At 37.4% G+C, this 26,463-nt stretch overlaps 1 protein-coding gene across 7 annotated transcripts in view, besides 2 other annotated features; it reads left to right on the top strand.

Annotated features, from left to right (window-relative positions):
* Positions 1-26,463, top strand: part of STAU2 (staufen double-stranded RNA binding protein 2) — a 327,112-nt gene that overhangs the window by 52,194 nt on the left and 248,455 nt on the right. For 5 of the 7 annotated variants that reach the window (NM_001164381.2, NM_001164380.2, NM_001164384.2 and 2 more), the window contains 2 exons: positions 6,474-6,633; positions 22,045-22,180. The exons of 1 other annotated variant lie outside the window; for it this stretch is intronic. In NM_001164381.2, the coding sequence (NP_001157853.1) occupies positions 6,474-6,633; positions 22,045-22,180 (296 nt within the window). The remainder of the gene's footprint in view (positions 1-6,473; positions 6,634-22,044; positions 22,181-26,463) is intronic. One more of the 7 variants, NM_001164382.2, reaches the window with a different exon arrangement.
* Positions 13,296-13,496: a silencer, noted in NCBI's record as "peak7072 fragment used in MPRA reporter construct". NCBI's record gives its function as "represses an SCP1 promoter by STARR-seq MPRAs in K562 erythroleukemia cells {active_cell/tissue: K562}" and the evidence as "EXISTENCE:reporter gene assay evidence [ECO:0000049][PMID:32103011]".
* Positions 23,961-24,150: a silencer, noted in NCBI's record as "fragment chr8:74583372-74583561 (GRCh37/hg19 assembly coordinates)". NCBI's record gives its function as "represses an EF-1alpha promoter that drives an FKBP-Casp9 reporter gene in an ReSE screen in HepG2 liver carcinoma cells {active_cell/tissue: HepG2}" and the evidence as "EXISTENCE:reporter gene assay evidence [ECO:0000049][PMID:32094911]".

Raw genomic sequence — 26,463 nt, 5'->3', positions numbered from 1 at the left:
ATCCTATGGTGGCTTAGCTGATATCCAAAATGCAAGACAAAGTTCTCTTTTTTCTTCACTCTCCTCTCCTTAAGCAGAAGGAAGTAGATACTTTCGTTGCTACAAGTTGCACTTCCTGGGGTTAGGGGAGGGATGGCATAAGCACTCCCTTAGCCATTCCAGCTGGTGTCTCCCTAGGTTGCGTGCCATCCTAGTTCACTGGCTCTAAGCCCAGCCTCACACTAGGAGTTGCCTAGGAAGCACAGTCTCGTGTCCTAGACTGCCTTTCAGATTTATCTAGGACCCCGGAGCACTTCAGCCTGTGGTGGCAAGTCTTGCCAAGAAATTCAAGTTCCAACTGCTATGATGGGCAATTCCCCTCCAGCTAGTGCTGGTCCAAATCCTCCCTCCCTGTGCAGGTGCTGGCTGAGTCCAGCACATTTTCATTGTCTGCTGTGACAGGGCAGCACTGAGTTTAATGTACTGTTTTCCAATAGCCGTGCTCTCCTCCCTCAAAGTGTACAGATTTTCTCTCCACGCCACATGGCTGCTGCTGGGAGTGTGGGAGAGGGTTGATGTTGGTGATTCAAGACTCTCCTACCCTCCTCAATGCCTCTTTTGGCAATATGAAGTTAAAGCCAGACACTGTGATTGTTCACCTGATTTTTGTTTCTTGTAACGGTGCTTTTTTGTGTCCATAGTTGTTAAAATTTGGTGTTCCACTGGGGGTGATGAATGATATATAGGCTTTTGTTCCACCATCTTGCTCTACCCTCCTCTGTAATTTTACTCTACCCTCTTCTGTAACTTTACCCAATGAACATACTTTGTGTGTGGTCTGAATTCTTTGTATTTATTGAGACTTATTTTATGGCCCAGAATATGGTCTGTCTTGGTAAATGTCCTGTGAACAATTGAGAGCAAGTGTATATTCTGCTTTTCTTGGTTGGAGTATTCTAACAGTGTTGATAAGATTGTGTTGGCTGATAGTGTTGTTCAACTGTACTATATTCTTGGTGATTTTTTTTGCTTGTTATATCAGTTTTTGATAAGGAGTATTGAATCTGACTTTAATTGTCAATTTTATAGTTTAAGTTTTGTCAGTTTTTGCTTCATTTATTTAAGCTGTGTTATTAGGTGCCTAAATGTTTAGGATATCAATGTCTTCTTAATTGCTTTCTTTATTCATATGAAATGACCTTCGTTACCACTGGTAATAGTCTTTACTCTGGAATCCACTTAGTCTGATATTAATATAGCCATTCTAATTTCTCCTTGATTTATGTCAGTATATGTTTTTCTCATTACTTTAAAACTATATGTGCTTTTATATTTGAAGTACAGTTTTTGTAGGTAGCATGTAGTTTGATTTTGCATTTTTATCTAGTTTGACAATCTCTGACTTTCAAGTGGGGGTGTTTACACCATTTTGTTCTAATTTTCACAACTAACCATGTGTTCTTATTAGCCTCATTTCACTAAAGAGGTAAGAAGCTGAGAGTTAGAAAGAATAATTAACTTCCCAGTGTTGTACATAGTAAATGGCGAAGCCAAGGCTTAAATTCATAAACAGTGTGTCTCCAGCATTCCGTCTTAAAACTACTACACTTTTTACTGTAGTAGGAATCTTAAGAGAGATTGTAGAAAAGCATAGGATTGCCTTGGAAATACTTATATTTTACAGAATGTTCATGTTGATGGTTTTACAGAATGTTCATGTCGATGGTGGTAAGAATGGTAGTTTGAATGGGAAGGTCATATTAAGGGAACTGCTTTAAGATAGTAAAAAGAAATTTTTTTCTATACTTCCAACACTTTTTTTTTTTTTTTTTTGAGACGGAGTCTCACTCTTTCGCCCAGGCTGGACTGCAGTGGCGCTGTCTTGGCTCACTGCAAGCTCCACCTCCCGGGTTCACGCCATTCTCCTGCCTCAGCCTCCCGAGTAGCTGGGACTACAGGCACCTGCTACCACGCCCGGCTAATTTTTTTTGTATTTTTAGTAGAGATGGGGTTTCACCGTGTTAGCCAAGATGGTCTCGATCTCCTGACCTCGTGATCCGCCCGCCTCGGCCTCCCAAAGTGCTGGGATTACAGGCGTGAGCCACCGCACCCAGCCCACTTTTTTTTAAATTAAAAAATTTGTTTCCGAGATAGGGTCTTGCTGTGTTGCCTAGGCTGGAGTGCAGTTGTGCAGTCATAGCTCACTGCAGCGTTCATCTCCTGGGCTCAAGGGATCCCCCTGCTTCAGCTTCCTCAGTAGCTGGGACTATAGGTGCGCACCACCATGCCTGGATAATTTTTTACATTTGTGGTAGTGCTGAGGTCTCCCTGTGTTGCCCAGGCTGGTCTCGAACTTCTGAGCTCAAGTGATCCTCCCACCTTGGCCTCCCAAAGTGCTGGGATTCCAGGCATAAGCCACCACACCTGGCTGTAACACTTCATTTCTGACACTAAATATGTGGGGTTTTTTTCCACGCCAGCGAATTCTGCAATTGTCCCCATACATTGACTGGATGTCCTACTATTTAACTAAATTCTGACACTAACTGCCCACGGTTAGTGCAGACCCTGCAGGTTAAGGGCTCAGTCCCACAACACTGCTCTCACCTCACATGACAGTCACAAATCTGGGTCTTCTAAACTTGTGACCAACTGGCTATAAACCGGGGGCTCTCAGCACCCTCTTCTCAGGTTCCATAATTTGTTAAAACAGCTCACAAGACTCAGGGGAACACATACTTATATTTACTAGTTTATTATAAAGGATATTCTAAAGTATATAGGTGAACAGCCAGATAAAGAGTACATAGGAGGGCCGGCGTGGTGGCTCACGCCTGTAATCCCAGCACTTTGGGAGGCTGAGGTGGGTGGATCACGAGGTCAAGAGTTCGAGACCAGCCTGGCCAACATAGTGAAACCCCGTCTCTACTAAAAATACAAAAATTAGCCCGGCATGGTGGCTTGTGCCTGTGATGCCAGCTACTTGGGGGGCTGAGGTAGGAGAATCACTTGAACTTGGGAGGCGGAGGTTGCAATGAGACGAGATTGTGCCATGCACTCCAACCTTGGCGACAGAGCAAGACTCCATCTCCGGGGAAAAAAAAAAAAAAGAAGTACGTAGGATGAAGTGTGTGAGAAGGGAAATGGAGCTTCCAAGCCCTGTCTGGGTGTGCCACCCTGCAGCACCTCAGTGTGTTCACCAGCCTGCAAGCTTTTTGTACCCTATCTTTTAGGGATATTTATGGAGGCTCTGTCACATAGGCATGATCGATTATTAACTCAGTCTCCAGCCCCTCTTTCCTCCGTGGTGGATAGGAATGGGATGGGGCTAAAAATGAAGTTTCTAACCATGGCTTAGTTTTTCTGGTGACTGGCCCTCAGACTAGCTCTCTATCCAGGGGCCTGCCAAGAGTTGGCTCATTAGAATAAAAATTTCCTATCACCCAGGAAATTCCAAGGAATTTAAGAGCTCTGTGTTAGAAATTGGGATCAAAGACCAAATATTAGAACAAAAATGCTCCTAGTTCTCCTGTCCTTCCGGAAATTACAAGGTTTTGGGAGCTCTGTGTTAGGAACCAGGGCCGGAGACCAAATACATATTTCTTATATACCACAGGTGGTGTTGTGGTAGTTTAGGGGAGAGATACTGATATTGTCCACATATCATTGGTGCATGTATATATCTTAGTATAAAGACATTGGTGCATGTATATATCTTAGTATAAAGAGAGGAGGCCAGGTCTGAAAAACATTTAAGTTGAGTCAGTAGTTGTTAATTGCAAGCAGGAGAGAAGGGAAGACCTCTCAAAGGTGTCTGGCTCATGAGATTGGGAAAATGGTGACATCTGGATGATTAGGAGGCAGGAAAGATTAGAGATAGGAGCTAAATGAAGTATACTGAGTCTGAGTTTATAGAAACCTTAGACCAAGGAGGTGACAATATAAATTACAACGAAGAGTTATGAGATGTTAAATAAGCCTTAGGAAGGCAAGGATAAACGAAACTAATGAGGTTTGAACCTGAACTATTGGGAGATAATGGATTAAACATTTTGGGGTATGAACTGATTTGGAGGGGGTAGAGTGGAGGAGGCAGTGTTTTGTTTGACCTTTTACCTCTTGAGTTTGTGGAAATACCAAGTAGACAGTTAGATTTATGTGATTGTTGTTTAGGAGAGGTCAGGTCTGGAGACATGCAGAGTAAATTTAATATGCTTTCCTGATGCAATCAGGAATCTCAAGGTCATTTATGTGGGTATTTCTGTTTTCAAGCATATGAGCTATATGCAAGATTATGTATATTATATATATCATGTGAAACCTTTGAACTTTCTTACTTTGTGGCAAAGTTCTTTGTTAAATACCAAAATTTGAAGAAAAAGAGCTAGTCATTGAAAAATCATTCTGAAACCAGAGAGAGTATTAAAGATACATTTTAGGTATATATTTTAAACTGAATTAGAATAAAAGAAAATTTAATCACTTTAAACAGGTATGTTTATGTTGTGAATTTCAAATGACAAATCCCAATTCTCTATTTTGATTAATTAAAAATCTACAGAAAAAATGGAAAGAGTGGTGTAATAGACACTCATGTATGGTTTAGATTCACCGATCGTTAATTTATTTGCCACATTACTTTATTTCTTGCTCCCTCTATATTGACATATAATTTTTCCTTGAACAATTTGAAAGTAAATTTCAGCTACCATGACACTTCACTCTTAAATACTTACATATCTATCTTGTAAGACTAAAGACGTTCTTCATAATCACAATACTGTTAATCACACAAGAAATTTAATCCTGGCTAAACCTATTACTTAATGTATAGTTCATAGTCACATTTCCCCAGTTGTCCTCTGAATGTCCTTTACAGCTTTTTTCCCCTTCCCATTTTAGATATAATGAAGGATCATGCATGGTATTTATCATGTCTTTTCATGTCTCTTTTCTTTTCCTTTTTTTTTTTTTTTTTTGAGACAGAGTCTCGCTCTGTCACCCAGGCTGGAGTGCAGTGGCGCAATCTCGGCTCACTGCAAGCTCCGCTTCCTGGGTTCATGCCATTCTCCTGCCTCAGCCTCCCGAGTAGCTGGGACTACAGGCACCCGCCACCACGTCTGGCTAAATTTTTTGTATTTTTAGTAGGGATGGGGATTCACTGTGTTAGCCAGGATGGTCTCAATCTCCTGACCTTGTGATCCGCCCATCTCAGCCTCCCAAAGTGCTGGGATTACAGGCGTGAGCCACTGTGCACGGCCTTCATGTCTCTTTAGTGTCCTCCCTGCATTCTTTGTTTTTTTTTTCCTTTTATGACATTGACATTTTTGGAGCCTAGGCCATTTGTTTTATAGAATGTCCCATAATCTAGATCTCTCTGGTTGTTTCCCTGTGATTAGATTCAGATTAAACATTTTTGGCCAAGAATTGTACATGGTTGTTGATATATACTTCTCACTGGATTGTATCAGGGGGCACATGACGTCAATTTGTATGATTATTGGTGATGCTAACTTAGTGAAGGTATTTTCTATCTGATCTCCTTTCTACAATAATATATATTTTTTTGTAATAAGTAATTTTAAGTTAATACTTAGTATTCCTAGAAAGTAATATGCAGTCTGGAGTGAAACCAATTATGCGCATATCATGTAACTTGATTCTGAATTTTAAAGGTGAAGAATAGGTTTGGGGGCTCATATGGAAATACAGTGAGAATGGAATTCAGAGCATGTTAGTGGAAGGATGTGTGTGAGATGAGGATGCACAGGTAGAGCCTTTGTGCCATGCTAAAACAGGAACAGTTGAAGGGTTTTAACCTGATGTTGATTGGGGTGATGAAGTTGGATTTGTGTTTTAGAAAGATAGTTTTAGCAGTGATCAGCTGGAAGAATATTATGTCCAAGCTAAAGATGATGAAAGGCTGGATCCAGTTGGCAGAGAGAGGAAGAAGATTTGAGAAATATTTATGATGTTAAAATGGACAGAATTTAGTGATTGGCTCAATGTTTGTTGTGGAGATTCAGAGTTTTTTGGTAGTATAATATTTAATAGAATTGCCTGACTCATTGCCTAGATTGTGCTAAATGTAACATTCAAGGAATTAGATTTTATGAAAGTATTATAGACACATGGTCTTTTGGCTTCTCTTACAGTTTCTCTTATTATTTCTACTTATTCTGCTTTTGTGAGGACCATTTGAATGACATTAACATTGTGATTCCATTTAGAGGAAAGATTGCTTCTTGATTTATTCTACCCAGAATGTACACCTAGATCTGCTACTAAGCTTTTGGATAGGATAGAACAGAATTTGGTACTCTCTTAAAATTTCTTCACTAGGTAGAGTAAGATTTTGTTGCAGATGATCTGTAGGTAAGGTCACCTCTAGCTCTAAAATTCTGATTCTATGATGTTTATTTTTCTCTCAGACAGCCAATTTTATTTCTTGGAAAAGTCTTAATGTTTTCTTTGTCTATTTATGTTTTTCTAAGATGTTCTCAGTGCAGCTGAGTCTTGGTGAGCAGACATGGGAATCCGAAGGCAGCAGTATAAAGAAGGCTCAGCAGGCTGTTGCCAATAAAGCTTTGACTGAATCTACGCTTCCCAAACCAGTTCAGAAGCCACCCAAAAGTAATGTTAACAATAACCCAGGTATGGCAGTGACTCCTTCTGTTATGTTGTCTGCTATGTGTGTTCTGCTTGTTGTATGTTTCATTTATAGTAGGCTAGTAACAGAGTGAGCAAGTATTAATAGTACACATATGCCCATACCTACACACACACACACACACACACACACACACACACACACACACGGTAGCATAAAAATAACTGAAGGAGGCTTGGTGCGTTGGCTCACGCCTGTAATCCCAGCACTTTGGGAGGCCGAGGCGGGTGGATCATGTTAGGTAATTAGTTCGAGACCATCCTGGCCAACATGGTGAAACCCTGTCTCTACTAAAAATATAAAAAATTAGCCAGGTGCCTATAATCCCAGCTACCCAGGAGGCTGAGGCGGGAGAATTGCTTGAATCTGGGAGATGGAGGTTGCAGTGAGCCAAGATCGCGCCATTGCACTCCAGCCTGGGCAACAAGAGCGAAACTCCATCTCAAAAAAAAAAAAAAAATGAAGGTGAGAGGATGAAGAAAGTAATTGTAATTGTTTTTAAAATTTGCTTTAGTGGATACTATAAAAGTGCATTGTTTACTTTTTTAATGTTGGCAAAAACATATTTGAATACAAAGCACAGAAAATTTGACTGAGTTTTTTTTTTTTAAAGTAAAGATAGTAGGCCGGGCGCGGTGGCTCACGCCTGTCATCCCAGCACTTTGGGAGGCCGAGGCAGGTGGATCACGAGGTCAGGAGATTGAGACCATCCTGGCTAACACAGTGAAACCCTGTCTCTACTAAAAAAATACAAAAAAATTAGCTGGACATGGTGGCGGGTGCCTGTAGTCCCAGCTACTCAGGAGGCCGAGGCAGGAGAATGGCGTGAACCCGGGAGGCAGAGGTTGCAGTGAGCCAAGATCGTGCCACTGCACTCCAGCCTGGGCGACAGAGCGAGACTCTGTCTCAAAAAACAAACAAACAAAAATGATAGTGGCTTGGTGCAGTGGCTCCCACCTGTAATCCTAGCACTTTGGGAGGCCTGGGTAAGAGGATTGCTTGAACCCAAGAATTTGAGAGCAGCCTGGGCAATATAGCAAGACCTTGTTTCTACCCCTGCAAAAAAAAAATTACAAAAAATGATTAATTTCTCTTTTTAAATATATAGTTTAAATATATAGTTATATATATAAAAAACTATATTTTATATATTATATAATTATATATATTTTATTTTATATATTATATATTTATATATTATAAATATATATTTATATTTAAATTAATTTAAATATAAATATATTATTTTTATAAATATAAATTATAAATTATATTTATATTATATAAATTATAAATATAAATTATATTTATAAATATAAATATAAATTATATTTATAAATATAAATATAAATTTTTATAAATGTAAATTAATAGAAATATAAATTAATTTATATTTAAATTAATTTATATTTAAGTTTATATTTAAATTAAAAAATTTATAATATATTGTATATATTATATAATTATACATAATTATATAAATATAATTTATATAAATTTATATAATATATAAAACTATATATTTATATATAGCCTGGCCAGCATGGTGAAACCCCGTCTCTACTAAAAATACAAAAATTGGCTGGGCATGGTGGCGCGTGCCTGTAGTCCCCACTACTTAGGAGGTTGAGGCAGGAGAATTGCTTGAACCTGGCAGGCGGAGGTTTCAGTGAGCCGAGATCACGCCACTACACTCCAGCCTGGGCGACAGAGCAAGACTCTGTCTCAAAAGAAAAAAAAAAAAGAAAGAAACCCCATCACAAATTCCGCAAACCACCTGCATGTAAAATACTGCTAAGTAAATTACTGTTCTAATTTTAAGCTCCTAAGAATAATTTTAAAGAGTTGTTCTAATTGCATACAATACGAACAACATTATATGTCATTATCTTTTTTTTTTTATTTCAATAGTTTTTGGGGAACAGGTGGTATTCGGTTACATTGATAAATTCTTCCGTGATGATTTCTGAGATTTTGTTGCACCCATCACCCATGCAGTGTATGCTGTACCCAATGTGTAGTCTTTACCCCTCATTCCCCTCCCAACCTTCTCCCAGATCCCCAAAATCCATTGTTTTTTTTTTTTTTTGAGGGGGAGTCTCGCTCTGTCACCAGGCTGGAGTGCAGTGGTGCAATCTCGGCTCACTGTAACCTCTGCCTCCCGGGTTCAAGCAATTCTTCTCCCTCAGCCTCCCAAGTAGCTGGGACTACAGGCATGTGCCACCACGCCTGACTAATTTTTTGTATTTTTAGTAGAGACGGGGTTTCACTGTGTTAGCCAGGATGGTCTCGATCTCCTGACCTCATGATCTGCCCACCCCGGCCTCCCAAAGTGCTGGGATTACAGGTGTGAGCCACTGTGCCTGGCCTAATTTTTTTGTATTTTTAGTAGAGACAGGGTTTCACCATGTTAGCCAGGATGGTCTCCATCTCCTGACTTCGTGATCCATCTGCTTTGGCCTCCCAAAGTGTTGGGATTACAGGCGTGAGCCACCGCGCCCGGCCCATTGTATCATTCTCAATGCCTTTGTGTCCTTGTAGCTTACCTCCCATTTATGAGAACATACTACATTTGGTTTTCCATTCCTGTGTGACTTTACTTAGAATAATGGTCTCCAACTCCATCCAGTTAGCTGTAAATGCCATTATTTCATTCCTTTTTATGGCTGAGTAGTATTCTATGGTATATATGTACACCACATTTTCTTTATCCGTTCGTTGATTGGTGGGCATTTGGGCTGGTTTTATGTTTTCGCAATTGTGAATTGTGCTGCTATAAACATGTGTATACAAGTGTCTCTTTCATATAATGACTTATTTTCCTCTGGGTAGATACCCAGTAGTGGGATTGCTGGATCAAATGGTAGTTCTACTTTTAGTTCTTTAAGGAATCTCCATACTGTTTTCCATAGTGGTTTTACTAGTTGACATTCCCACCAGTGGTGTAAAAGTGTTTCTTTTTGGCTGGGCGCAGTGGCTCATGCCTGTAATCCCAGCACTTTGGGAGACTGAGGTGGGCAGATCACGAGGTTAGGAGATCGAGACCATCCTGGCTAACACGGTGAAACCCTGTCTCTACTAAAAATACAAAAATAATTAGCCGGGCAGTGGCGGGCCCCTGTAGTCCCAGCTACTTGGGAGGCTGAGGCAGGAGAATGGTGTGAACCCGGGAGGCGGAGGTTGCAGTGAGCTGAGATCGCACCACTGCACTCCAGCCTGGTGACAGAGCGAGGCTCCATCTCAAAAAAAAAAAAAAGAAAAAAAAAGTGTTTCTTTTCACCACATCCACGCCAACATCCTTTATTTTTTTATTTTTAAATTATGGCCATTCTTGCAGGAGTAAGGTGGTGTGTTAGTCTGTTCTCACACTGCTATAAAGAACTTCCTGATTCTGGGTAATTTATGAAGGAAAGGAGGAAGTTTAATTGACTCACAGTTCTATATGGCTTGAGAGGCCTCAGGAAACTTACAGTCATGGTTAAAGGTGAATGGGAGGCAGGCATCTTCTTCATAAGGTGGCAAGAGAGAAAAAGACTGAAGGAGGAACTTGCCAAACCCTTACAAAACTATCAGATCTTGTGAGAACTCAGTCACTATCATGGGAACAGCAAGGGGGAAACCGCCCCCATGATTCAAATTACCTCCACTTTGTCTCTCCCTTGACACATGGAGATTATGGGGATTACAATTCAAGATGAGATTTGGGTGGGGACACAGCCAAACCATATCAGTTGGTATTGCATTGTGGTTTTGATTTGCATTACTCTGATAATTCATGATGTTGAACATTTTTTCATGTTTGTTGGCCATTTGTATATTTTCTTTTGAGAATTATCTATTCGTGTCCTTAGCTGACTTTTTGATGGCATTATTTTTTTCTTGCTGATTTGAGTTCCTTGTAGATTCTGGATATTAGTCCTTTGTCAGATACATAGTTTGTGAAGATTTTCTCCTACTCTATGGGTTGTGTGTTTACTTTGCTGATTATTTATTTAACTGTGCAGAAGCTTTTTAGTTTAATTAAGTCCCATCTGTTTATCTTTGTTTTTGTTGCATTTGCTTTTGGGTTCTTGGTCATGAAGCCTTTGCCTAAGCCAATGTCTAGAAGAGTTTTTCCAATGTTATCTTCTAGAATTTTTATGGTTTCAGGCCTTGATTTAAGTCTTTGATCCATCTTGAGTTAATTTTTATATCAAGTGAGAGATGAGGATCCAGTTTCATTCTTCTCCATGTGACTTGCCAATTATCCCAGCACCATTTGTTGAATAGGATGTCCTTTCCCCACTTTATATTTTTTGTGTGCTGTGATGAAAATCAGTTTGCTCTAAGTATTGGGCTTTATTTCTGGGTTCTCTATTCTGTGCCATTGGTCTATGTGCCTATTTTTATAGCAGTATCGTGCTGTTTTGGAGACTATAGCCTTATAATGTAGTATGAAGTCAGGTAATGTGATGCCTCCAGATTTGCTCATTATGCTTAGTCTTGCTTTAGTTATGTGGGCTCTTTTTTGGTTCCATATGAATTTTAGCATTGTTTTTTCTAGTAGTGTGAAAAATGATGATGGTATTTTGATGCGAATTGCATAGAATTTGTAGATAGCTTTTGGCAGTATGCTATTTCCACAATATTGATTCTGCCCATCCAAGAGTTTGGGATGTGCTTCCATTTGTTTGTATCCTCTATGATTTCTTTCAGCAGTGTTTTGTAGTTTTTGTCGTAGAGTTCTTTCCACCTTCTTCATTAGGTACATTCCTAAGTATTTCATTTTTTTGCAGCTATTGTGAAAGGGTTTGAGTTCTTGATTTGATTCTCAGCTTGGTCGCTGTTGGTGTATAGCAGAGCTACTGACTTGTGTACGTTTATTTTGTATCTTGAAACTTTACTGAATTCATTTATCAGATCTAGGAGCTTTTTGGTTGAGTCTTTAGGGTTTTCTAGGTATACGATCATATCATCAGCAAACAGCAACAGTTTGACTTCCTCTTTATCGATTTGGATGCCCTTTATTTCTTTCTCTTGTCGATTGCTCCGGCTAGGACTTCCAGTACTGTGTTGAATAGAAGTGGTGAAAGTGGGCATCTTTGTCTTGTTCCAGTTCTCAGGGGGAATGCTTTCAACTTGTTCCCTGTTCAGTATAACGTTGGCTATGGGTTTGTTATAGATGCTTTTATTACCTTAAGGTATGTCCCTTCTATGCCGATTTTGCTGAGGGTTTTAATCATATAGGGATGCTGGATTTTGTAAAATGCTTTTTCTTTGTTGAGATGTCATGTGATTTTTGTTTTTAATTCTGTTTCTGTGGTGTATCACATTTATTGACTTGTGGACGTTAAACTATCCCTGCATCCCTGGTATGAAACCCACTTGTTCATGGTGAATTACCTTTTCGATACGCTGTTGGATTCAGTTAGCTTATATTTTGTTGAGGATTTTTTGCATCTATGTTCATCAGGGATATTGGTCTGTGGCTTTCTTTTTTTGTTATGTACTTCCCTGTTTTTGGTATTAGGGTGATAATGGCTTCATTGAATGATTTAGGGAGGATTCCCTCTTTCTCTGTCTTTTGGAATAGTGCCAATAGGATTAATACCAGTTCTTTTTTTGAAAGTCTGTTAGAATTCAGCTGTGAATCCGTCTGGTCCTGGGCTTTTTTTATTGTTGTTGTCAGTTTTAAAATTACCATTTCAGTCTTGCTGTGGTCAGTTCAGAGTTTCTGTTTCTTCCTGGTTTAACCTAGAAGGGTTGTATATTTCCAGGAATTTATCCAGCTCCTCTAGGTTTTCTAGTTTGTGTGTGTAAAGGTGTTCATAGTAGCCTTGAATGATATTTTGTATTTCTCTGGTATCAGTTGTTATATCTCCTGTTTGTTTCTAATTGAGCTTATTTGGATCTTCTGTCTTCTTTTTTTGGTTAATCTTGCTAATGTTCTATCAATTTTGTTTATCTTTTCAAAGAACCAACTTTTTGTTTTATTTATCTTTTGTATTTCTTTTGTTTCAATTTCATTTAGTTCTGCTCTCATCTTTGTTATTTCTTTTCTTCTGCTGGGTTTGGTTTGTTCTTGTTTCTCTAGTTCTTGAGGTGTGACCCTAGATTGTCTTATTTGTGCTCTTTCAGACTTTTTCATGCAGGCATTCAGTGCTGTAAACTTTGCTCTTAGCACCACTTTTTCTGTATCCCAGAGGTTTTGATAAGTTGTGTCACTATTATCATTCAGTTCAAATTCTTAAATTTCCATTTTGATTTCATTGTTGACCCAACAATCATTCAGGAGCAGGTTATTTAATTTCCATGTATTTGCATGCTTTTTGAGTGTTCCTTTTGCAGTTGATGTCCAATTTTATGCCACTGTGGTCTGAGAGAGTAGTTGATATAATTTTGATTTTCTTAAATATACTGTGACTTGTTTTGTGGCTTATGTGGTCTGTCTTGGAATATGTTCCATGTGTTGATGAATACAATGTGCATTTTGCAGTTGTTGGGTAGAATGTTCTGTATATATCTGTTAAATCCATTTGTTGTAGGGTATAGTTTAAGTCCATTGTTTTTTTGTTGACTTTCTGTCTTAACGACCTGTCTAGTGCTGTCAGTGGAATATTGAAGTCCCTCACTATTATTATTTTGCCCTCTGTCTCATTTATTAAGGTCTAGTAGTAATTGTTTTATAAATTGGGAACTCCAGTGTTAGGTGCATTTATATTTAGGATTGTGATATTTTCCTGTTGGACTAGTCCGTTTATCATTATGTAATGTCCCTCTTTGTCATTTTTAACTGTTGTTGCTTTAAAGTCTGTTTTATCTGATGTAAGAATAGCTACTCCTGCTGGCTTTTGGTGTCTGTTTGCATGAAATATCTCTTTCTACCCCTTTACCTTCAGTTTATGTGAGTCCTTATGTGTTAGGTGAGTCCCTTGAAAACAGCAGATACTTGGTTGGTGAATTCTTATCCATTCTGCCATTCTGTATCTTTTAAGTGGAGCATTTAGGCCATTTACATTCAACATTAGTATTAAGATGTGAGGTACTATTCTATCCATTGTGCTAGTTGTTGCCCCAATACCTTTTGTCTGTTTTTTCTCATTGTGTTATTGTTTTATAGGCCCTGTGAGATTTATGCTTTAAGGAGGTTCTGTTTTGGTGTATTCTGAGGCTTTGTTTCAAGATTTAATAATTCATTTTATTACTTCTTTAGTGCTGACTTGATAGTGGCAAATTCTCTCAGCATTTGTTTGCCTGAAAAAGACTTTTATCTTTCCGTCATTAATGAAGCTTAGTTTCACTGGACATAAAATTCTTGACTGATAATTATTTTATTTAAGGAGGCTAAAGATAGGACCTCAATTCCATCTGGCTTGTAGATTTTATGCTGAGAAATCTGCTATTTATCGGATAGGTTTTTCTTTATAGGTTACCTGGTGCTTTTGCCTCACAGATCTTAAGATTATTTCCTTTGACTTGACTTTAGATAACCTGATTGACTGTGTGCCTAGGTGATGATCTTTTTGCAATGAATTCCCTGGGTGTTCCTTGACCTTCTTGTATTTGGATGTCTAGATCTCCAGCAAGGCCAGGAAGTTTTCCTTGATTATTCCCTCTAAGTTTTCCAAACTTTTAGATTTTTCTTCTTCCTCAGGAACACCACTTATTCTTAGGTTTGGTCATTTAACATAATCCCAAACTTCTTGGAGGCTTTGTTCATTTTTTAAAATTCTTTTTCCTTTGTCTGTGTCAGATTGGGTTAATTTGATTAGGCCTTGTCTTTGAGCTCTGAAGTTCTTTCTTCTGCTTGTTTGATTCTATTGTTGAAACTTTGCAGTATATTTTGCATGCCTCTAAGTGTGTCTTTCATTTTCAGAAGTTGTGACTCTTTTTTATTTATGATTCTATTTCTCTGGAAATTTTTTCATCCATGTCTTGTATTATTTTAAAAATTTCTTTAAGTTGCCTTTCACCTTTCTCTAGTGCCTCCTTGAGCTGCTTAATAACCGACCTACTGAATTCTTTTTCTGGTAATTCAGATATTTCTTCCTGGTTTGGATCCATCGCTGGTGAACTAGTGTGATCTTTTGAGGGTGTTATAGAACCTTGTTTTGTCATATTACCAGAATTGTTTTTCTGGTTTCTTCTCATTTGGATATACTGTGTCAGAGGCAAGATCTTGAATCTGCTGTTCAGATTCTTTTATCCCACGGGATGATCCCTTGATGTGGTTCTCTCCCCGTTTCCCTATGAATGGGGCTTCCTGAGAGCTGAACTGCAGCGATGGTTATTTTTCTTCTGGGTCTAGCTACCCAGTGGAGCTACTGGACTCCAGGCTGGTATTGGGGAGTGTCTGCAGAAAAAGCATTTGCCCTAGGCTAGAAGTCTTCCTGCTAAGAAAGCAAGCAGGGCTTTCAGGCCTTGCCCTTCCATGCCTGCAGTGGCTTCTGTTCTCATATCTGTACTTTCCATTGGCCCCCTATTCCCGCCGGCCCCCTATTCCCACCTCCTCCCCCACCCCCCACCCAGATTCTGCCCAGGAAAATTTGCATTCAGTCAAAATTATGACAGCGTTCAGCTAGAAGTCTTTCTCACTGTGGTACTTCCCTAGTTCCACTGACTGCCTTCCCCAAGGACCACTGTGAGATGAAAGTAAAAAAAAAAAAAAAAAAAAAAAAAATGGCTTCCCTAGGGACTGGGAGTGTCTACAGGGGTCTCTTATCGCTGCTGCTTCTAGTTTTTGTTTTTGTTTTTGTTTTGTTTTTTTTTTTAGGTGGAGTCTCAGTCTGTCACCCAGGTTGGAGTGCAGTGGCGTTGATCTTGGCTTACTGCAGCCTCCGCCTCCTGGGCTCAAGCAATTCTCCTGCCTCAGCCTCCCAAGTAGCTGGGATTACAGGTGTGCACCACCTTGCCCAGCTAATTTTTTTTTTTTTTGTATTTTTAGTAGAAACAGGGTTTCACCATATTAGCCAGGCTTGTCTCAAACTGGGCTCAAGCGATCCACTCACCTTGGCCTCCCAAAGTGTTGGGATTACAGGCATGACCCACCATTCCTGGCCTGCTTCTTCTACTTTTATATTTCGCTCAGCTCTCTAAATTTGTTTCAGTCCTAGGTAAGGTTAAATTCTTCTGTGATCTGGATTTTCAGGTTCCCCAGTGAGGATGTGTGTTTGGAGGCAGACTTTCCCCCTCTCACACTTTGGGCACTCACGGTGTTTTGGCTGTCTCATGGAGTTTGCAGCGGCAAGCTGCTTCTTTCAAAGGGTCTGTGAATTCTTTCAGTTTTCCTGGTATGTTCTTGTGGTGGTTCTTGGAGCAGAGTTTACACTGTGAGTCTCCACATGCTGTTTTGTCCTGAGTGGGAGCCTCAAGTTAGTCCTGCCTGATATCCATCATTTTCTCCGGGTGACCTCAGTGAATCTATATGTCCCGTTATCTATTGGGAAAGGCAAACCTGTATTTTGGACATAGTGTATTAATTGATAACATTAGGTTAATGGAATTACTATAACTTTAGTACCAGCCATATATCCATTTACTCATTCATTTGTTAACTGATTAATTCAAGTGGTTACCTTCTAGTCAATATTAATTTCGCCTTAGATATTTTTGTTATGGAGGTTAAGAAAGATTTTGTGCCTGTCAACAATAACTCTAAAATGTATTTAATCATTCTCTACTTGGTTATATTCATAATCAAATCACATAGACACTTGTTTCATTCTCATGTGGTCTGTGCTAGGTTGACATTCTCTGCTCTTTCAAGGACTACTCTGCAGAATCCATGGCTTTCTGATTGCAAGTCTCTGCTTCTGTTCAACTGATTGCAGTATTTATTAAGCTTAAATAAGCCAAAATATTATTACAATAGAAAAAAAACTTATTCTCTTCATTTTGAAGTTCCTAAAAGATTGTCCATTTCTTTAATTTTTAAAAGCCTCTTCAGAATACTGGTTGATCATTAGTAGCATACCACCACCATGATATATTTAACACTTGCTTTTTACATATCTAAGAGAAATAAAACATTGTCCCTTTCAGTGAGTGTCTTACAGTCTTATATATGAACACGTAATTTGATGGTAAAGATTAAGTGCCAAGTAGACAATAACAGCCATCAGTATTACAGGTAATGATAAACATGGACTGAAGTAGTTGAAGTAAGATACAGGCCTTGACCGAAAAGTAGGCAGTTATAGATGAGAGGAAAGAATATTTTAGCCAGAGGGAATACTATGAGGAAAGGCTTTGAAGTAGGAATCTGGACAATGGATTTGGTAAAAAAAAAATTTTATAGATGGTTTTTAATTAGAGCAGGTAAATGACTAGTAGGAGGTAAGACTGGAGATGTAGTTAGTGAGTGAATTGGGACGACTTGAATGCCAGCTTTACGAGATTAAGTTTTATACGTAGCTGGGAGGAATTAATATTCATGAGCAGTGCATGATGCATTTAAAGGAGTATTTTAGGAAGCTCAGTTTGACATGTAAAGGGAAGGTGGGAGACACTAAAAAACCATTGTCATAGTTTATGGGTGAAGAAAGAAAGAGACTCACGTGCATTGAGTACTGTATGCCTCCCGCTCTGCAGGAGTGTTGAGAGTGGCATTTGGAATGGAACAGAACAAGCTGTCTAAGGCATATAATGTAAAGCAAAGGCATATAATGTAAAGCAAGAGCAGTTAATTGTGTGCTGAGCTCTGGGTCAAGTCCATATTTAGAGGATTATAGCAGGAAGTAAACCAGCAAGAGTCAGAGGAAGGAAACAGGAGAGTGTCTGAAAGGCCCCAGTGGAGATAAGAATTTCCATGGTTGAGTGTTATAGTAAGCTGAGAGAATGAATCGATTATTTGGTGTAAACTTTTAAAATAAAGTCTAATACTGTATACAGACAAGGGCACATTACAGTTATAGAGCTTGATGAATTTTTATGCTGTGAACACTTCACCACATGTTTTACTAGTGCTATGGAAGCTTCCCTCATGCCCACTTCAGTTGGTTAAACAACTCTAAAGGAAACCAATATTCTGATTTCTACCAGATTAGTTGTGCCTTCTTGTTGGAATCAGACAGTAGACTCTTGTGATAGCTCATTTTTCTCAATATTGTGTGTGAGAGTCATCTATGTTGCATTTAATGGTATAGTATTTCATTGCTATGTAGTATTCTATTGCATAAGTATACATAATTTACATATTATTCATTGTACTATTATACGTATTTGAATTGTTTCCAGTTTTGAGCTATTAGAAATAATACTGCTGTGAACAGTATTCTTAAAATGCATACATTTCTCTTGGGAATATATCTAGGATTGGAACTGTTGGGTCATAGTTATGAATGTATTTGGTATTAATACATAATGTCAAAGAATGTCAGTTTACCTTCCCACCAGCGGTATGAGAGCTGTCCACATCCTCATCAACATTTGATATCTCCAGCTTTCAAAATTTTAGCTATTATGCTGAGAGGTATAATAGTAATTCATTGTGTTTTTAATTTGCATTTCTCTAATAACAAATGCAGGTGAGCATCTTTCCATATGCCTGTTGGCATTAGGCTAGGCTCTGTTGTAAAGTGCTGGTTGGAATGTTTTTCCCACTTAAAAATCTGCATTGTCTGTTTTAAAATTTTTTCTACTTTTTACTGGCTTACAGGGTTCTTACATATTCTGGATTCATATAATTTATCAGATATGTATATTGCAAATATCTTTCTATACTCCTAAGGGTACATTTTGATGAATAGAAATTCTTTTCAATGAGACCAGGTACGGTAGCTCACACCTGTAATCCCAGCACTTTGGGAGGCCAAGGTGGGTGGATCACTTGAGGTCAGGAGTTTGAGACCAGCCTGGCCAACATGGTGAAACCCCAACTTTACTAAAAATACAAAAATTAGCTGGGCGTGATGGTGTGCACCTGTAATCCCAGCTACTCAGGAGGCTGAAGCAGGAGAATCGCTTGAACCTGGGAGGCGGAGGTTGCAATGAGCTGAGATTGCACCACTGCACTCTAGCCTGGGTGAGAGCGAGACTCCGTCTCAAAAACAAAAAACAAAACAAAACAAAAACAAAATTCTTGTTTAGTGGAAGCTAATTTATTAGTCTTTTCCTTTATAGTTAGCGCTTTTTTGGTGTGCCATTTAATACACCTGTGTCTCTTACAAGTTTGTGAAGATAACCTCATGTTAGTTTTAGAAGCAGTATTATTAGATCTTTACAGTTTAGATCTACAGTCTGTCAGGAATCGAGTTTAATGTATGATGTGAGGTAGAGTTCAATATTTTTCTTCATTTAAAAAATATATGGACATTCATTTAATCCAGCACCATTTATTGAAAAGATAGTCCATTCCCCTCTGCAGTGTAGTGGCACCTTTGTTATAAACCTGGTGACTGTAACTCAGTATTGAGAAGTAATAGGTCTGTGGAGGAAAGATCCAGTCTTGACTCCACAGTGTGTAGATGGGTCTTAAAAAGAAGTTATATCCTAATGAGGAGTTAAGTTCATTTGCAGCATGGTTGATCTGTTAGTAATTGGGAATATATTATAGAACTGTTTTGCTTTCTCCCTTTTATTTTTTTTTAAACTATGGAAGTAATTTCAGATTTATATACAATTTGTGGAAATAGTACATAGACTTCCCATGTATCCTTCACCTTTATTCCCCATTGATAGCATTTCTGAACCATCTGGGAATAAGTTGTAGACATGATGTCCCATTACCCCTTAATATTTCAATGTATATTTCTTAAGGACACGGACACCGTTCTATCGGGAAGTTAACTTTGATCCATATTACCATTTAATCCACAGACTCCATTTCAGATTTCACTAATCATCCCAAACCTTTACAGCTCCAGGAGCTAATCAAGACCATGTGTTACATGTACTTAACATTTCTCTTCATTCCACTTCAATCTGTAACAAACAGTTCCTCAGTCTTTCTTACCTTTTATGACCATAATATTTATGAAGAGTATGGGACCACAGAGTTTTTAGAATGCCCCTCAATTGAGTTTGTCTGGTGTTTCCTCATGATTTATGCATTTTAGCATGAATACCAGAAAAATGACTTGGACTTACCTTAGTGCTTTCTATGAGGAGACGCCTGAGATTGACTTGTCCCATCAGTGACGACTTTTGTCATGCGGTGAGGAGTATGCCAGGCTTCTTTGCTGTAAAGTTAATTAATCCGTATGTTTTGTTGTTGAATAGTAAGTAATAAGTATTTTCTGAGGAGACATTTTGAGCCTGTGTGTGTGTGTGTGTGTGTGTGTGTGTGTGTATACATGTATGTCTTATTTGTGCTCTTTCAGACTTTTTCATGCAGGCATTCAGTGCTGTAAACTTTGCTCTTAGCACCACTTTTTCTGTATCCCAGAGGTTTTGATAAGTTGTGTCACTATTATCATTCAGTTCAAATTCTTAAATTTCCATTTTGATTTCATCGTTGACCCAACAATCATTCAGGAGCAGGTTATTTAATTTCCATGTATTTGCATGCTTTTTGAGTGTTCCTTTTGCAGTTGATGTCCAATTTTATGCCACTGTGGTCTGAGAGAGTAGTTGATATAATTTTGATTTTCTTAAATGTACTGTGACTTGTTTTGTGGCTTATGTGGTCTGTCTTGGAATATGTTCCATGTGTTGATGAATACAATGTGCATTTTGCAGTTGTTGGGTTATGGCTTTTAGGCCTCTTAAGTGGATACTTAAGCTAGGAAATACCTAGTACTTTTTTTTTTCCTTAAGAGAAAATACATCATGAATTCATTGTGATATTTTCAGTTAGGATTTAAGACTATATTTTCAGTTAGGATTTCAGTTAGGATTTAAAACTACAGGGTTTTAGGTAGTGTGTTTGATTTTATATTTGTGTCTCTTTATGCTAAAAACCTTTGTTTCTGACATTAATTCTTTAGTCTATTTTATGTATATTTTATATATATATAAAATAATTTTATAATAGCAATTGCAGTGAGACAGGGACGCCAATATTACTAACAGCATGATTACTAAAAATAGTTTATGATTTATTTGCAGGGTTTAAAAAAATCTTTAGAATATGTGGTTATTTGACTATATTTTAAAGTTATTTGAAATAACTGTTCTTCGTATGATTAGGGCCACCAATCAATTAGGTTTTAATTGCTTTGTTTTCTTTATAGAGATTACTTTGTCTCCATTTTTATTTAATTTTGTTTGACTTAAGTAAAAGCATATTACTTGTTACTAACAATGTGATTACTGAAAACAATTTAAGATTTTTTTTTCTCTTTAGGATCTCATGGCTATTTTACAGTTTTTTAAGTCTTTTGAAATAATTCTCTTTGTGGTTAAGTCACTGTAGATAGATTTAGTTCCAGTTTTCTTTCGATTTTAGAGATTGCTCCCCCACCCCTTTTGGATGAAATTTTGATTTCTGTAATTATGCAAAAAATTCATGTTTTCAAAATAAAATCTATGAAACAGTGTACATTCAGAGACATACAGCTTCCATTCCTAAGTAAGTTTTTTTTTTTTTTTTTTAGTTTTGGGTTTATTCTTTAAAAAAAGTAAGCAAATATATATTTATATTTTCATTTTCACCTTTCTTAGACAAAAGATAATATAAAGCACACACTATTTGGTACCTTGCTTTTTTTCGTTTAACATTATACCCTACACTGCTAAGGTATAACCTCCGAGGTATATTAAGTAAAATAAAAGAAGCAAGGTGTGTAGTAGTCTTCCTCCTTTTATAGCTGTTCAGTGTTTTATGCTATGGACATTTATATAACTGATGCTGCATTGATGGTTGTTTAGGTTGTTTTCAGTCTTTTGTTTTTATCGATAATGCTACTTGTACGTATCTTTAATATTTGCTAGGAATATATTCGATGACATTTTAGTTTCAGGAAACATTGCTTATATTTACTCTGTTTTGTTGGTTATAGAAAAAATTCAAAAAACTTTTTTCATTAGATAAGTCCAAGAACCACTGATGACTTTCTTGCCAATGCTTAGTTATTTAATTACCAAAGTATAAATAAAAATATTCACAGATGATGTTTTTAATGATTAAATACATGCAAGCTTTCTGGGGTAAGTAATGATGAAATGCAGTACTTTAAAAAATAATATTCACGGTTAGCAATCTAAGAATCATCTGTTTACTATGTTTTGATAGTAATGATTGCACACTCAGATTTTTTGTCATTAATGTACAGAAAACATTGCAAAATCCCAAGATTTTATTAGGAACTATTTTCTTGGTTTTTTACTTTGTTTTCGCAGTTCCTTAGAAAATCATACAGGTGGTCCATCCATTCTTACCTTCTTCCATGGTATTTAAGCGTTGTATAAATATAGCTTGCATGTTTAATTGTGAAGATATTTCACTTGTGTGCCTTTAATGTTTTTTTTTTAAACAGGCAGTATAACTCCAACTGTGGAACTGAATGGGCTTGCTATGAAAAGGGGAGAGCCTGCCATCTACAGGCCATTAGATCCAAAGCCATTCCCAAATTATAGAGCTAATTACAACTTTCGGGGCATGTACAATCAGAGGTTTGTATGTCTTTTTTGGTTTTGTTCTTAATTATTATTTTATCCATGTTATAAAAGTTTCTCACACTCAAAAGAGTATTTTCATTGTAAATCTAATTGACCTTGGGCATTGTGCATGGAATTTAGATAAAGCAGGTTCACAAGGAATATTTAAATTAATAACTTAAAGAAACCCAGTTTTCAGGAACTAGTTTTTTTTTTTTTTCCCCTACCCCACAAACGTAAAAGATCTGAAGGAACTAGTTTTTATTGTGTCATGAGGGCCCTGTATTTGTTGCAGGGAAGACCAAGTCTTAAAGTCATTTCACAGTTTATAGTGTTGACTTTCTCATTCATTTACCAAGCAGAGCTCAGTTTTTTTCTTGATTTGTCTAAATACATTAGTGAACATGAATGTTTGTAATTTATAGGGAAAAAAGAAAAAATGTAAATAATGTAATCCCAGAATTTGCCACCTTTTATATTTTCATGTACTTTACATTCTTTTTTTCTTTGCATTTAAATATATTTAACCAAGTTGAAGTTGTCCTTTATATGCAGTTTTTGTAGTACTTTATGAAGGTATGATAGACATACAGTAAAATGTACAAATCTTAAGTATACCTCTTGATGACTTTATTTTATGTATGTATATATGTATTTATACTTTATTTGATGACTTTTTACATACGTATAGCCTCACGTGATCACCACTCAGATCGAGATACAGAATGTTCCCAATCACCTCTGAGAGTTTCCTCAGACCTCTTTGTCTTTGACACATCCTTCTCCCAGAAATAATCACTATTTTATTATCATAGACTAGTTTTTGCCTGTTGTTGAACTTTTTATATCTAGACTCATACAGTATTTATGTGCATCTGGCTTCTTTTACTTTGTATAATGATTTTCTTGTTTGGGGATTCATCCATGTTGCTTATATCTGGGTTTTGCCCTTTTTTATTGCTGGTTAGTGTACTTTGTATGGATATATCATAATTTGTGTATCTTGTATATGCAAAACAAGCACTCTCTTTTCACTTAATATAGTGGCCATTTGTCATATATTTAAGAATTTTTTTTTCTTTTCTTTCTTTTTTTTTGAGACGCAGTCTCACTCTGTCACCCAGGCTGGAGTACAGTGGTGTGATCTTGTCTCACTGCACCCACAGCCTCCCGGGTTCAAGTGATTCTTGTGTGTCAGCCTCCTGAGTAGCTGGGATTACAGGCACCTGCCACCATGCCTGGCTAATTTTTGTATTTTAGTAGAGATGGGGTTTCACTATGTTGGCCAGGCTGGGGGTCTTGAACTTCTGACCTTAAGTGATCTGTCCGCCTCGGCCTCCCAAAGTGCTGGGATTACAGGCGTTAGCCCCTGTGCCTGGCACAAAATGATTTTGATGGCTACATAATGCTTCATATGGCTTCATAAGGTATATAAATGTATGTCTATTTTTTTATCTAGGTTGTTTATGCCCTCTTTTTTGTTAAGATTGCTGCAGTAAATAATCACTATGTAAATCTTTGTTCACATCACTGATTATTTCCTTCCTTATATTACTATAAGGGGAATATTCTTTAAAAAGAATAAAGCATTGCCCAATTGCACTAAAGTTTGTACTAATTTCTTACAGTATATGAGAATGCTTATTCTATTCTGAGAACACTGAGTTAAAAAGGTTTTTGTCTTCTTTGGTAGTTAAAAAGTAGTGTTTTTTTTGTTTTTTTTTGTTTGTTTGTTTGTTTTTTAGATGAAGTCTCACTCTGTCACCCAGGTTGGAGTGCCATGGTGTGGTCTCAGCTCACTGCACCCTCCGCCTCCTGGGTTCAAGCGATTTCCGGCTAATTTTTGTATTTTTAGTAGAAACAGGGTTTTACCATGTTAGCAAGGCTGATCTCAAACTCCTGACCTCAAGTTATCCGCCTCTCTCAGCCTCTCAAAGTGTTAGGATTGCAGACATGAGCCACCTCACGTGGCCATCAAGTAGTAGTTTTTAAAATTCAATTTTATTGATTACTAGTGAGGCTGAACAGTTTTTTTTTTAGATATTTGTTATCCTTTTTGATTTGTCTATTTTAATTTGCTGATTTTTATTCCATTGCTTCACCAGTTTTCAAATGTTTATGTGTTGAGGATGTTAACCTTCAGTCTATTTTGTTTGTTGTAATTTTCCTGCTTTAAAAAATTTGGCTTTTAATTGTGTATTTGTTTTTAATATCCTGTAGTTTTAAAATTTTATGTGGTCTTATCTATTGATTTTTCTTTATTTCTCTCACTTCTTTTATGCCTGAGAAATTCTTTCCTATATTTGATCAGATATTTGCTGGTGCTTTTGTTATGGTTTTATGTATTTACTGATACCATAACTTAGATGTGTAGGGAAGATATTTATTTAGTCCATAAATAATCTGATACTTTTTGGTTTCTTGCTTGCTAGGGGAAAAATTATCTTTAATTGTATCCATTTAAAACTTAGTTCTATTCAATTGTAAATAGTTCCTTTAAATATTATTGTTTAGGTTCTCTAAGAAGAATTTGCACACTGTATTAGACTTCTGCCCTTCCCTTTTCCTCTCAGGTATGCCTGGGGGAGCTTTCTCTATGCTAGGAAGGGAGAGGCATCTATATACCTCACCTCTGTAGAGGCATCTTGTGTTGTCCTTTAGTTCCTCTTTTCTTTGTGGTCGTGTGCCTTGTCCACGAGGTGTGGAAACTTGCAGTTGGTGGCATCTAGTCCGTCTTTTTCTCCCTTAGGTAATGCTTCCAGAGTGTATCTACTATCTTCCCCTTGCTAATGGGCCTAAACCCTCAGCTTTTCTTGGCTTCCTTGGTATATTTCATTCTCTCCTGTAACATCTCTGCTTCTAATTGTGATGCATACAATGGCAGGCTTCCCAGCCCTCAGCTTGGTGTCCACACCGCATAGGAGGCACAAGGGACAACACATTTCTCTTGTAGTTGTTTTATTTTCTCTTTCTCTGTATAATATACGCATTGCCTTTATGTTTAATCTGACGTTCCCCAATGTAAATAAATAAAGCTAGTTGCCCACTTCAACACAGTAGATATCTTTAGTCACCTGAGTAAGGAACACCTAGCCTATTATATACTAATTTTATTGCTAATGTACTCTAGTAAATAGATTTATGAGAGTATTACATCTTTATATTTGTTTTATTTTGGTATCTGTGGTCCTTTATTGAAATTTTGCTACAGTTCTGACTAGTGAATTTATTACTTTTAAATGGAAATAAACTACTTTTATTACTTCTAAATTTATTACTTTTAAAAAGTCTGGTGCTAAAGCAATGAAAAGTCAGACACTAATCCCTGTCCTTATGGAGCTCATGTTCTTGTAGGGGAGGTAGTCAGTCAATAAGAAGTGGTTAGTCACTGAGAAGGTTGCTTTTGATAAAGACCTCAAAGGAAGAGAGAGAAAAAGCAGTGTGAATGTTGAGAGAGAGAGAGAGAGAGAGAGAGAGAGAGAGAATTCCAGGCTCAAGAAATAGCAAGTACTCCCCGCAGTAGAAGTGTGCCTGGCATTGGCCTCAAGAGGCCAATGTGGCTTGATCAGAGTGAACCAAGGGAGAGAGGAGTTAGTATGTGAAATTAGACAGGGATCATGTGATTTTGATTTTCTTTTTTTCTTTTCTAAATTTTCTGTTAAGAATGTCGGCATTTTTTCTTTGTTGGCAGTTTCTAGTTCCAAGATCTAATTCTTATGGTTGTTGTGAGGGGTACAATAATTTTATTTATGATTTCTCCAAAGTCATAAATAAAGGATGTGCCTTAGGCCATTCCATGAATAGATAATATGGACTTTTCCTTTTTTGGAGTGTCTTTATTTTATGATATTCTGCAGATCACAAAAAGGTAAAAAGAATATCGGAAAGTACTAGTAAGCTACCAAGCCATGTTTCAACTGAAAAGCTCTTTCTGCTCACAGAAGCGCAGACCTAACCATTACTCAGTAGGCTGTTACAACCATGATTTCTCATATTTATTTTAATTTATAGATGGCAACACTTGAATGGATTACAGGGACTCTGGAGCCAAAGATCCAAGGAGATGTCTTTTCCTTGTCAGAACCCAGATTAATCATTAGCTTCTTAAGGCAGGGAATGAAAGGTGAAGTCCAAGAAACAGGTATCATTTAGAGGGATTTTTGAAAAGGTCCTTTTATTTTCTACTTAAAGTAATATTAAGCAAAATTAGGTATTACCTATGCTGTTTTACCACCCTCTACTGATGATGTTTCTCCACTTGAACTTATTCAAAGGCCTAAGAAGAACTGAATTTTTCT

Source organism: Homo sapiens, chromosome 8 (assembly GCF_000001405.40).
Source record: "Homo sapiens chromosome 8, GRCh38.p14 Primary Assembly".
Lineage (NCBI taxonomy): Eukaryota > Metazoa > Chordata > Mammalia > Primates > Hominidae > Homo > Homo sapiens.
This window is presented reverse-complemented; position numbering and strand designations above follow the sequence as displayed.